The 13,283-nt window shown below is 43.4% G+C and overlaps 1 protein-coding gene across 13 annotated transcripts in view, besides 1 other annotated feature; it reads right to left on the bottom strand.

Annotated features, from left to right (window-relative positions):
* Nucleotides 1-13,283, bottom strand: part of ZFAT (zinc finger and AT-hook domain containing) — a 354,552-nt gene that overhangs the window by 42,475 nt on the left and 298,794 nt on the right. For all 13 annotated transcript variants that reach the window (NR_110323.2, XM_047422062.1, NM_001174157.2 and 10 more), the window contains 2 exons: nucleotides 12,572-12,710; nucleotides 621-739 (listed from right to left, as the gene is read on the bottom strand). Coding sequence is in view for 11 of the 13 variants with exons in the window: in XM_047422062.1 (XP_047278018.1) it covers nucleotides 621-739; nucleotides 12,572-12,710 (258 nt within the window). In the remaining 2 variants the exon portion in view is untranslated. Of the gene's footprint in view, nucleotides 1-620; nucleotides 740-12,571; nucleotides 12,711-13,283 lie in introns of those variants that run through there.
* Nucleotides 1,702-2,269: an enhancer, noted in NCBI's record as "H3K27ac-H3K4me1 hESC enhancer chr8:135534207-135534774 (GRCh37/hg19 assembly coordinates)". NCBI's record gives its function as "activates a minimal SCP1, AML or CMV promoter by ChIP-STARR-seq in naive H9 embryonic stem cells {active_cell/tissue: H9 hESC(naive)}" and the evidence as "EXISTENCE:reporter gene assay evidence [ECO:0000049][PMID:30033119]".

A 13,283-nucleotide genomic window follows, 5' to 3' on the forward strand; every position in this document is an offset into this window, starting at 1 on the left:
GCCCTCCACAACAAAGGATTGTCCAGATCAAAATGTCGACAGTGCTGAGTCTGAGAAACCCTGCCTTAGATAACTGCAATTAGTCCGTGGTGGCAATACCTAGTATCTGAAAAGAGAGATGGTTACTGGCTCTTATAATAAAGGCGTGTTTTCAGCAGGTGACTGGTTCCAACTCCTAAGGGAAAAAAAACAAAAAAGCAGCTAGGAGCATGAGCTCTCCACAGAAAGAGAGCAGGGCCTAGATTCAGGAAACAGAGCCTTTTCCAATTCTCTCGGTGAGGATGGCAATACAATAGAATCCTTGCCTTCCATTCTTTCAGATGCAACATCTGAAACTCTGGATTTGTGAATAACATAAGTAAAAGTGTCAAGGAGGTCAACACAAACTTTCACAAGAGAGTCTAAATTCAACCCAGAATAAGAATTCACAGGCTTGGCCCAGATCTTAACCCAGTTATACCCCTCAGACGCGAGACATCATTTGAAAACGTTTCAGAAGTTCCCCAAACAGAAAATCTAATGTTCTGAGGAATGATTGTCCGTGCCCAGTATTTGGGTTTGCCTGGTTTGTCATCTGTGTTTTGAAATGTCAAGATTAATACCATACTTAAAAAAATTACCTCCCACTTGGGGTCTCCATCAATTTCCACCACCTTCAAGCCATGTTTGTTCTTCAAGTGCCTATTGAACTCCCATTTGGTGCCATATACAAAGCTGCAAACAGGACACTTCAAACCACCTGAAAGCACAGACAGAGGTTAAAAAAAAAATGTGTTCGTAATACAGAAAAATGCAACAGTTCCTCCTCCTGTTCAAATGCTTCAAATCTAGTAAGTATTATTTTGTCTCCAGCACTTGTATTCAATTCAAGCTTACCTTAGTATTGGAACACAATAGCAACAGTATATGTTTTTTCAAGGCAGAGATTTTAAAACTTCATGTACTTTTTTTATTTGTTGAATAAGCTTTTGTAGACAGCCCAATATGTGCCCAACAGTTTAAATGGCAGAGAGAACTAAGATAAGTAACATAATTCCCTTGGCCAGTGGGTAAGTGGCTTAAATCATTCTTTCATTTTTCACTTGTAAGTAACAAATAATTTAGAAAACGAGAACAATGGAAAGGGAGTGTCTGCTTTTCTTAATCTCCTTTGTCCCAAAACACTAAGACCAGGAGCCTGATTCTCAGTCTCCTTCACGTCAGAAGCTAAGTCATTAGCATAAATTCCCATGCAAATTACCCAGTAAAGAACAAATTTAAAAGCTGGTCACATCCTGAAACGTCATTATTTATTGAACTGATTAAATTTTGCACACGTTCCAGGAAGTGTTTAGATGCTTTAATTAAGAGAATGTACAACTCTAGGTTTAAAAAAAAAAACAAAAACTGGAGAGTCACACAAAAGAATATCTTTCTACAATTATACAGAAGCAGCAACTAAACTGCAGCCTGTACAAAAGTCTCTTTGAACAGATTGTGCCTTCAGAAGCAAACTCCAGTCTCAGGAGACTAAGGGTAGTGCTGGTGCCAGGCCTCTAGTCTACTGGCCTGAGCCAGGCTGATGCTGGCACCACCGGGCCGCCACCCTGAGCTGGGCCAGGGGAATGAGCCCTCTCACCAACATCCCCAACACCACAGCTGTCTGGAACTGTGAGCTACCCGATTCCAGCAGGTCATTCCCTAGTCGCAAACTCTGGCTTCCCATCCTTCTCTGCCATGTCTTCTCTGTGGTCCACATGGTCTCTCCTCTATGCCAGTGCTTCCGCAGCATCCTGGAATCTCAGACCTTCTGGCCAACAAAATCCCCAACATTCACCTTGCCAGAGAGCGTGTTCTTTCCCTGTCTTTCTTTGACCACACTCTCCGCTAAGTCCTCCCAAGTGGAGGCTGCTCATGCTCTTGAGCCCCAGGTAAGGAGGATGCCAGGCCCGGGCAGGGCAGCAATGCCACCTCCACGGTAGAGCAGGAGCATTTCCCCATCCTGTCCCTGCTACCCACAGTGCCAGATCCATCAGACAATTTGGCACCTGGCCCTCTCCACTTAAATACTGTAACATCCATTGACTTTAAGGCCAATAACCTTCCCCACCATTTCACAATCTGTGGAGTTTCATTCAGTCACCCATATGATTATTCAGCACCACCCATGGGGCTAAATCCAAGCATCCCACTCTGACGACTATCGGCCCTCGGGCCATCTCTTACTTTCACTATCATTATTCTTCAATTTCTGGAGAATCTTCAGTTTGCATCCCCTCCCATTTTCTCTCAGCCTACCCCTAACTATGCTCCCCTCTCCAAAGAGCACACTCCAGAGCCCAAAACTTACAACTTTTATTGGCAAAGCCCTCCACGTCCTCAGCTACTTCTCTTTCTCTCAAACCTGCCTGGCAAATCCACAGCCCAGCATCAATCCAAGCCCCAGCCCTCCTTGCTCTGACCCTGGGATGCTGAGACAAATCACAAAGCCATTATTTATTCTTATGGCCACACTTCCAACCTCAAGTATTTCCCTAGTCAACTCTGTCCAATTATCCAGAAGAAGAACTGCAATTCTCCATCCATCTCATTAAGTCCCCTATACTATTGTCGACTTCCTCTTTCAATCTCAGCCTCAGTTCTTGTCTCCTGCTTCACAATGAGAATATCAGGTAAGAACTTTCCAGACCTTCCTGTACTATACAATTCTGTCCCTCTGCTCCTGCCTATGCCTGGCCTGACACCAGTTGTGGGTGAGAGTTCCCCTCCGCCTTCCAAGACCCCTTTCTCCTCTTTCTAGAGCACTGATCCTCAGCCCTGTTAGACTCAATGCCCCTTTCTACAACAAGCAGTTTAAGATTCCTCCATCATCCTGAAGTTTTTTAAAAGCCCCTCAAGTTTTGAAACCCTGCATGGGTGCAAGTACCACTCCACTGAACACTCTGTTCCTCCAGCCTCCACACCTTTATGCTTTCCCTGTCCCACGGCTGGGTGGCTGGGCCCTCCTACTCTGTCCCGTGTCGCCTAGGCTCGGTATCCAGACATTCTTCAGGCTCTTCCTCCTGCCCAGGACATATATTATCCACAAACTAATGACTTTCCTATTTGTAGCTCCAGCCCAGACTCCTGCCCCAAACTCCAGCCTGGGATGCCTCCCCACAGGTAGACAGGACTGTGCATCCCAGTGTCTCCCACGCCTCCTGGCCAGGCCACTGCAGTCTTCTGCATAGATGGGAGCAACCAGCTCCTAAGTGCTCTCTCAGCAGCTATTGTCTATCCTCCACTGTTGGTCCACTTCCCACCCAGCACACAACATGGTCTTTCGAAAACACAGACTAGATCACAGTCTCAGAGGTATAAACCCTTCCAATGGTCTTCTGTCTCACCTACAATAAAATCCTGACTCCTCCCTGTGGCTGGCAAGTCCCGCCTCCCTCCCTCTCGCCTTCATTCTCTCCCTTCTCTGTCTTTTGCACTGACCAAGTTCATTCCCTTCCTGGGATAACTGCTGTGCCTCCTGGTTCACAAACTCTTCCCCAAGATCTCCATTTGACCTTCTCCTCATCTTTAAGCACCACCTCTTCAGAAAGGCCTTCCTGGGACTCCTAGAGAAAGCAGCCCCACCAAACACATAGAGCCATCAAAACTCTCTAATGGATTTCCCTACTTTCAGTCTGACATTGTATTATTATCTTTCCTACACATCTTCATTGTCCTTTCTCCCTTCTAAAGTGGCACCTTCCTAGAGCGGGAACTTCAGGGGCATCATCCACTTATTCTCTGTTCAAGTCCCAGCACCCGGCATCTAGCTTCTCCTCAATCACTCTGTCTTGCGTCACTGACTCTGGGTCTTGGCAAGTCCTCTTCTTTCTTGAGCTCCTTCTCCAACCATCCCCCTGCTCTCCTTGGACTTCTGCACCTCCCCTCTGTACACATCTGTCCCCTCACCAAATAAGTGTGTTCAGTGTTATCCGAGGGCCTGCCTTGGTGCCGGTCTATCTTCCCCTTTCCTTCACAGCCAGGATTCTGTGGAGTCTCCACTTCCAAGAACTCACTAGAAAGAGGTGCTGTTAGTGATGCTCTGGGGTGGACAACAGGCTGGGATGCAAGTGGAGGAGGCCAGCATTCACATCTCCTCCATCTTTCAAATTTTATTCCATGGGAGAGTAACTGCCCTATTCAAAATAATTACTGAAATTAAGATTATAAATTTAAACTAGAAAAATAATATGAATTCTTCACTTCCCTGTCTCTCTTCATTACTTAGGCCAGTGGTTCTAAACTATGGACAATTTTCCTCCCAGACAGGCAATGTATGGAGGAACTTTTGGTTGGCACAACTGGGGGGTGCCCAGGGCATCCAGTGGGTAGAGGCCAGGGATGCTGCTACATACCCTACAACACACAGGACAGCCCCCAAAACAAACACTGGCCTGGCCCCGATTGTAAGCAGTACTGAGGTTGAGAAGCCCTGCCTCACACCATAGCATGCTGCTTCCTGCACTCAGTCCTCTCCTGGTATTGCACATGTCAGGATCAGCTAACATCCTCATTGGTTAATCCAATGAATACTCTTCACTCTTTATCTTACCACTAGTACCACCACCAACACTACTAATAGCAATAACAACATATGTCTTCCACTAACTGGGCAGTTACCATGCATCAGGCACCTCATACATCAAGTCATGGTTTCTTCACAACAGCGCAATGACACAGGCATGCTTAGCTTGTTTTATACAGAGGCTTGGGATGGTGAAGTAACCCTACTGAGGTCACACTGGCAAAGTTAAGAACTGAATCTAAGTCTAACACACATCCTTAACCCCAGCCTTTGCTATTGTCCACTGTGACTTCTCTGCATTATATGGCGATGCTGACCACATTCTCCAGTCAAGATCTAGTTTTTCAGGGCTTCTGTGACACCACTCACTCCTGGTTCTTCTACCAAGCACCTCTCCAACTCAAATCCCTGTACAGCCTTCTCATCCTCTGTGTGGAGTCCTAAAGCCTCACAAACAGTCCCCTCTATATCTCTGATATGCAGGTCCAGTGATGTCCCAAAGTATCCCACCTCCCCAATATACATGTGAGCTGAACAAACCACTAAGATGCTTATACTTAGGCAACGAAAGAGCTGAGCTGACCACTGAGTGTATCTCAGGCTGCTATGTTTATGTATTGCTCATTAGGGTACTCGGGAAGAAATGGAGGAATTCTGTCCTGATATCAAGGTTGTCTGGACAAATTATACCAGATAAACCTCACGGGGATGTGGCCCACATTTAGTCATCTCCCAGATGCAGTTTTGATGCGCTCAATCTCCAAATCAATTCCGTGTCAGTGGAATCAAGACAGAGCAGTGTTCTATTATTGGGGTTTCTGTTCTATCAGCTGAGGTTGTGGGTAATTTTCCAAAGAGTCACTAGTACAGAGGCCAACCTGCCAGCCACATGCAGCCCCAGCACCTCCGCCCACTGCTTCCTGGCCCCAACCCTGGTGGAGGCAGAGGAGGGCACCGAGGCAGAAGGCGCCCGCTGTCAGCAGAAAGACTGGCAACAAACACTAAATTCTTAAATTCTAGAATATTCTGCTGAAAAGACAGCTCAGATGGATGTTTATTTTCTGAAAGTCAAACATACTGTGCTGTTTTTTAGGCAAAAACAAATGAGCTTCTTTCTTGCCCAGAGGATAAACTTCATTTTTAACTTCCTTTGTTATTGCTTTTTTAAATCAGATAAAATCATGTCTTTTCCTTCAATCACCTTTTAAAAACCTCCAAGTTATGAAGACCTCCACTTTTTGTTGTTGTTGTTGTTGTTAAGCTGATGTTGCTTCTCCTATAAAGACTTAATATGTGATGATGAACAAAGGCAAACTTTTAAAGGTTAAACTTAGGCTTTAAAATGAAATTAAAGGTTCCTTCTGGGATATTCTTTAGTGGAAACTAATTCAGAGAGGAAAACATTCTTATATTATATTTAAATTAAACTTAATATGATAATGCCCCCACATTAATTAAAACTTCAGCCTTTGCCACAGTGACTTTAATTAAAGAACAACAAATGAAAATATGTAATCTAGACTGAATGTATAACTATGCCAGTTAATTGACATCAAAGCTGAGAGAAATTAATTTCTATTTGGATTCATTAAATTCTTAGGCAATGCACAGTAAAGGTCAACGGAAGACTTGGTGAATTTACTCATGGCACTGATATTAAGTGCACACCATAAAAACCAGGAGTCCTCAAATCACAATTTCCTCCCACGGACTGATTAATCAGGTGAAAATATAGAATTTCAAGAGAAATTTAAAAAAACTGATGATGGTACGCTTTGCTCTTTTTGGAATGCAATATATTCTGGAGCAGTTTCAGGCATTAAAATATCTCTGCTCCTTTGTGGTGCTTGACGTTATTGAAAATTCAATTTCATTTTCAATAATATAACTCCCAGAATGGCATACAACACTGGGTTGGGCAGTCACAAGACCTGAATCTGGCACTTGCTCAGGTAAGCCAAAGCTTCCTGAAACTCTTGGGTCTTGGTTTTCTCTTCTATGAAGGTGAAGATGCTAAAGTTCATATTCTTTTTTTTTATTTTTTATTTTTTTTTGAGATGAGCCACTGCAATAAAGTTCCTATTCTTAAAAAAGGCACTGAGTACAGTAGGCAGAATAATGAGTCCCTGAAGACAGCCACATCCTAATCCCCAGAACATGTGAACATGTTACCTTACATGGCAAAAACGATGTGATTCAGTTCAGGATCTTGAGAGGGGGAGGTCATTCTGGTTTCTCCGAGTGGGCCTAATGCTATCACAGGGGTCATTATAAGAAGAAGGCAGGAGAGGGCACAGAGATGCAATCTGAGAGAAGCTCCACTGGCCATTTCTGGCTTTGAAGGTGGAGAAGGGGGTCACAGGGCAAGGAATGTAGGTAGCCTCTAGAGGCTAGAAAAGGCCAGGAAAGGGATTCTCCCCTAGAGTCTCCAGAAGGAATATTTGTTAGCACTTTGATGTTAACTTGGTGAGACTCATTTTGGACTTCTGGCCTTCAGAACTAAGATAATAAAACTGTGTTGTTTTAATCCACCACGAAGTGTGTGGTGACTTGTTACAGTAGCTACAGGCAACTAACACAGGCACTGACAGATACGAATACGGATAAGGACAAGGAACAAAAGCAGGTAAATTATCCAAGGAAAGTGGATATGGAAAAATTGTATTAGATTAACAAGTGAATATGGAATAGAATTTTGCTGACATTTGCACTTCCTACTGTCTCTTAACTCAGTGTCTGTCCTAGGCCCAGCCAGGGCCCCAGTTCAGAGCTAGGAAGTGCTTAAGGGTAGAAATTAACCGGAAGTCACATGCAAGCACTGAGGTGGAGGGTTCCTGGTGACATGGCATGCAATATTAGATCCTACCTGGGACTATCTGAATCCTATTTAAATCCCAGCCCCTCTTCCCACAGGATCCTCAAGAAAAAGAGCAAAAGGGAAAATGCAGCAGAGGAAACAAAGTGCATTTTATTATCAGCCAAGCTGATATCCCAAACCCAATAAGAAACACTTGGCAGAGGAGCATAAGCAAGGTCTTCCCATCCGCCCCCTCCCCTCACATACGCCCCCAAATCTTGGGATCTGAGACACTCTGGATTACCATAGGGAAGGACTTGCAAAGAAATAGGTTTCAGAGTCAGTCTTGGGTCAGATTAGCAATTAGCCTCGGGGATGAAGAAATAAGAGAAAATAAACAGTATCCATGTGTGTGACTTTTCCACCAACTACCAGCAAATGTGGCCCAATTGCTTAAGAGATGACCACGCCTCTTCCTTCTCCTCCTCTTTCTCCTCCTCCTCTCTAATAAGTGCAAACATCTACAAACTTTAGGGGACATCAAACATGGGAGTGGCAAAGGCACAGACGTTGAATCAGGAGACTGAGTTTGGCTTGGCCACTTGCTTGCTTGGTGTGACCTGAGGTCAGTCATTAGCACTCCCTTCATTTCTTTATTTCACAATAGGAACGATTATGCCAAGCTCACAGGGCCATTGTGAGAGATAAATTAACACATAAAATAACAATCAATAACACAGCATTATATCACATCACTAGAAGCATGTGCCAAGAACTTATTGAATCTGGGCCCTAATAAAAACAATTTTAAAATTAAGATGTCTAAAAATCAAATACATCACCTGTGGGTTACCTCACAGTTTCTGGATTTCCTGCTATGCTATTTTCCCTGAATCTGGTGTAAAAAACTAATACACAAATATACATCCAAGGTACACATGCATACATATTTACATTTTTCTAATATAGCACTTCAAAGTAACATAAAGATTCTAGCAGACGCCAAATACTAAGACGTCTCCTTGACACTTCTCCTCTTATTGCTTCCTCTTCCTCCAGTTACCCACCCTTACACTTCAATGACTCTAAAACTGGGGGACACAGCCCTCTGGGAGAAGCAGCTAACTCCGCTCCAGGGCACAGCTGAAGGGGATGTATTCCTTCTGCTGTAATTAGAATACAGAGCTTTGGCGGGAGCTGCCTAGCCCTGGTCCGCAACCTGGGCAGGAATAACAATAATACCACCAACGACTGCCTTGTTTGACACCAAGTCCCAGTGCCTAGCATGGTTCCAGGCACACTGTAGGCGCTTGAGAGATACATGCTCAAAGTAGAAATATGCAGATAAATGTAATAGTGGATTTGAGCCATTCATCAAGAACTTACTGTCGGCACTCTCTGGGAATCTTAGAGAATGATATCTAATCTTTGCAACTGCTGTGGAGGTAGGTTATGAGCCTTCCTCTTTGGTGGTATATAAACCAAGATTCAGAGAGGTTAAGTACCTGGTCCAAGGTCCACAGTGATCAAAAATCCCGGCCCAGGTCCATCTGACTCCCAAGCGTGTGGTCATTCCAATAACCTAGAGAGACTTGAGGGAGGGCTTGGAAGCCACTGGAAAGCCCACTAAACCCCATCCTCACCCTGCTACATGCTCTAGGAGTGAGCAAAAGATTCATAAAGCTTAGCACCAAAGTATCTGATGCCTCTCACAGCCTGTGATTTACTGAACCAGTTCTTGAGCTAGCTTAATCAGGTGTATTTTAAGGGGAGGAAAGGGGCAGGCCCACTGAAGCAATACAAGTATTTCTTCCTTAAACAGCATGAAACGTGCATTTGTGTGGGAGAATGCTTCAAATCCATATTAATGAAGAAGTGATGGCTAAGAGGAATCTGTCTTCAAAGCATCAGATGCACATAAAATATAAGCCAGGAGTATAATATTTACATAGTGCTCAGTACTACCTTAATTACTACAAAGTATCAGAGTACTGAGGGATCAGTACATCCAGACAGGCCCTGGTGGCAGACACCTGGCAATGTCACCCAGTGCCCTCAGGGTGAAAGGTACGTGGGAACCAAGATACGCAAGCTCATAAGCCAAATGTGCACATGTCCCCGCTCCACGTTGAGGGACATCATGTGAGCAGCTTAAACTTGGCCATGGTAGAAGTATTTACACTACAGAAATTGGCAAATTCTACAAGTCATGTTTCCCCTCCCTCCTACTTGGGAAGAGCCTTAGCAGCCACTCTTCCCAGCAAGCTTTGGGAACACACTGTAAACCACCCAAACTCCATGGAGAATGCCATAGTACCTTCCCTTAGAAACCCACACAGAACAGAAGTATCTGATGTGGGAACCCTCAGCTCCTTTTAGGCCATTTTCCTGACCTCCTCTGCAGCACTGTGCACTGAACCCCTCCCTGGAATCCCAGGATCCCTGTGGCATAGCAGGCAGGAGGGTCTTTCCTAGGAATCAATAGCTTTGCACATGTCACAGTGTGACACTGTTTAACACAGCTGATACACAAGGAATCCCTGCACATGGTTTAAAGGAGACTGTAAAATCCTTTTGAGAAAAATACATGTTATTTGTGTTTTTTATGATGTTATTTTAAGACATCTTCCTCTATATCAAAACATGAAATTATAAAGTCTCATGAAGATATTTTTGGGGGAGTAGAAGAGGAAAATAAAACCAAATAGGGATGGAGAGAGTTACTTGAAATTAATCAAAAGAAAATGAAAAATTCCAGTGGTTCCAAACAATTCAACATTTCCAAACAGTAATTTAATCTGGTTTCATGTTCTCCTTTCATTCTGCTCCTCTCTCCTAGACATAAGAACAATGTGAACTTTGTGCTTCTGAGATTTCAAAACTGTGTTCATACTCCACCATCCATCTGATTTCAGAGACTGTTCTCCTGCCAGAGCACAACGGCGCATGGCCTCTTAAGAGTCAAGAGATGCTGGGTTGTCTCCTTCTTCAACATGTCCCTTGAAGGGAATGGGGGGATAAACATATATACATACATATGCATACACGTACATATGCATATGCAAATGCTACATCTATATATATATGTACAGATGGCCCTCCATATCCATGGGTTCAACCAACTGCAGATTGAAAATATTCAGGAAAAATAAATAAAAAATAACAATATAAAAATAAAAAAATAATACAAATTAAAACCAAAGTATAATAACTATTCACATGGCATTTACATTGTATTAGTTATTATAAGTAATCTGGAGATGATTTAAAGTACATAGGAGGATGTGTGTAGCCTTTATCCAAACACCACGCCATTTTATATAATGGACTTGAGCCATCTGTGGATTGTGGTTATCTGCGGAGGGTCCTGGAACCAATCCCCCATGGATGCCTAGGAACAACTGTGAATATATATCTGTGTGTGTCTGTGTGTGTATCTCTGAAAGAGGAACCAAAAGCAACCCTGCAAAGATAAAATATAAAACCCCGCTCCTGTCAGGGAATGCCGACTGATTACAGAGAGTCTTAGGAAGTTAACTGGAAACTTAGGGCATGAAACAGTTCAACCTCAGCACATTTTTTCCAAGGCAATGATGAAAGTTTGGAAGCATAGGGCAATGATGGTATCATCACTCAGATCCTCACACCTGTCCCAACAGCCACAGTAAACATCTATTTCCTGGCAATCCAACCCAAGAGTGTGAAGGATGCGAAAAAGAATCCCTAACCTGCAACTCTAGTTATTTACTGGGGCTGTAAGCCAATCTATTCTCCCCTCTGTGATTCCTGGACATGGGGCATTGGCGTGGGTCATAAAAAATAATGCGATGGCTCCACAATTCCTAGATGTTCCGAAAAAAATATACAAAAGCAAGGACTGAACATGTACTGCATGCACGTGTTTTTCCATTTAATCCTCTCCACCATCGTGGAAGATGGCTGCTGTGAACTCCATTCTACAGGTGAAGAGCCTAAGAGGGAGAGCTTGGGTAACATGCCCAAGATGGCACAGCTAAGAAAGAAGAATGCAGATTGGAGCCAGAGACCTTCCCACTGCATATCCTGCTCCCCAGCTCCATAAAACTGCCATTAAGAAAACGAAGGCACATGCTCGCCGTTACCCCAGATGGATGGCTTTAAAATTATCCTGAGTTTTCTGTGCTGCTCATCTATTTCCGTGCATCAGCCCTGTCACTGAAAGTGCTGAAGGGTATAGTCAATTCATTTGTTTTACATTAAGATGCATTTCATGGCTATTACAGCGAGCGGAGCTTCACGCTGAAACAAAACTCCAAGCATCCCCAGCTGCAGCAGTCTACAATTCCACATCTCTGTTTACTGGGGGCAGATTTCTAAATCTGTCTTCAGCTTCAAATAGTCACAGGACTTAGGAAAGAAGAGCAGCTAACTGTGTGCTGCAATCATTTTTTAGCTGAAGTATTGAAGTGTAGATATAAATACAACAGAATTCACTGTATGGTAACAGCACATAAGCTAAGCCCTCTCCAGTGGGAATGTGATTATTTATTGAAATAAAACAACAAAAAACCCCACAAAGTTTTAATAATTTAAAATGAAGAGAGGTTTTCATCAATTCTCATTAGTTTAAATGTTCTAGAATGTCTTTTTTTTCTTTTCAGGATGAATAAGTAACAAGCTTACTTAATAAATATTTTTAGATATTCCAAAAAAGTTCACCTATAAATATGCCTACAATAGCATTAGTTATAACTGCAAAAAAGAAAAATCTAAAAATCCCACAATGTTCGATAACAGAATTGTTAGTGTTTCCATTTAACATTGAATTACAAAAAGCCCTTGGAAATCATAATTAGGAAGACAGTATATCAAAGAAAAACAACATGTTCCTGCTAATGTGAAGTAAAGAAAGACAACCGAACTTTCATCTCTGCGAACTTTACGCACGGACAAAGAATGGAAGGCAATGCTGACAAATCAGCATTGTGGAGGGTAGTAGAATTTGTGTGTGAATTTTTACTTCTGCTATTTTAGACTTCCACTAAGGTTGTTGTCATATTAACCAGGCAAGAAGTAATGCTGACAAACAATGATAAGGACGATGATGACAACAATTAGGACGATGAAGAATGAACATCACTGGCACATTTATGTAGCAGAACTGAACTGCAGGATGTCAGCAGCTCTTCCCAATGGGGGACTTGGCCTAAAAGGAAGCGGGCAGGGCCCCAGCTCGCTGGCCCCTCGCCTACCTTGCTGGATGAGCACCTCCGCTGCCAGCTCCCCGGTGCCCACGTTGGCATACTCCTCATTAGGGTGCTTCCTGTTGTAGTGCCGCTTCAGAGAGCCAGATATGTTGCAGGAGTAATGGCAATGGGCACAGCGGAAAGGCTGCGGGGACAATGAGGAGGGGTTAGGAAAGGTGAGCCCCAGATGTCTGCCTTCGCTGCTGCTCCCACCTGGTGAGCATCTGACACCCTGAAAGCCTGAGATGAGCAGGCCCCATCACCTGTGATATGTTCTAGGGAAAACCACTAGGGCAGGAATGCTGAGACCTGCCTCTGCAGTGACCAACCAAGGGACCGGGACAAGGTGCCCCAGAGGAGGAGCTGTCTCTACTAAGTGAATTTGCTTTTGTTACTTCTTTTCTTTTTTCATCCACCTCAGAATTTAGTTTTTGTTCAAGAAGAAGACAAAAAAAGCAATACACTAATCTATCATTTTTTTAAGTGAATGACATTAAAAGTAGCTCTCATTACAATTGGTTCCCTGATATACAGTCAGGTGTCACATAATGACATTTCACTCAACTACAGACTGCAAACACAACAGTGGTCACAGCAGTAGGTTCTACCACACAGCCTGCAAGTGCAAGTACGCTATACCTTCTACAGCTGTGTAAGTACATTCTATGATGTTCTACAACTAAGAATTTGCTTAAGGACACATTTCTCAGAACGTATC

The sequence above is a fragment of the Homo sapiens genome, chromosome 8 (genome assembly GCF_000001405.40).
Source record: "Homo sapiens chromosome 8, GRCh38.p14 Primary Assembly".
Lineage (NCBI taxonomy): Eukaryota > Metazoa > Chordata > Mammalia > Primates > Hominidae > Homo > Homo sapiens.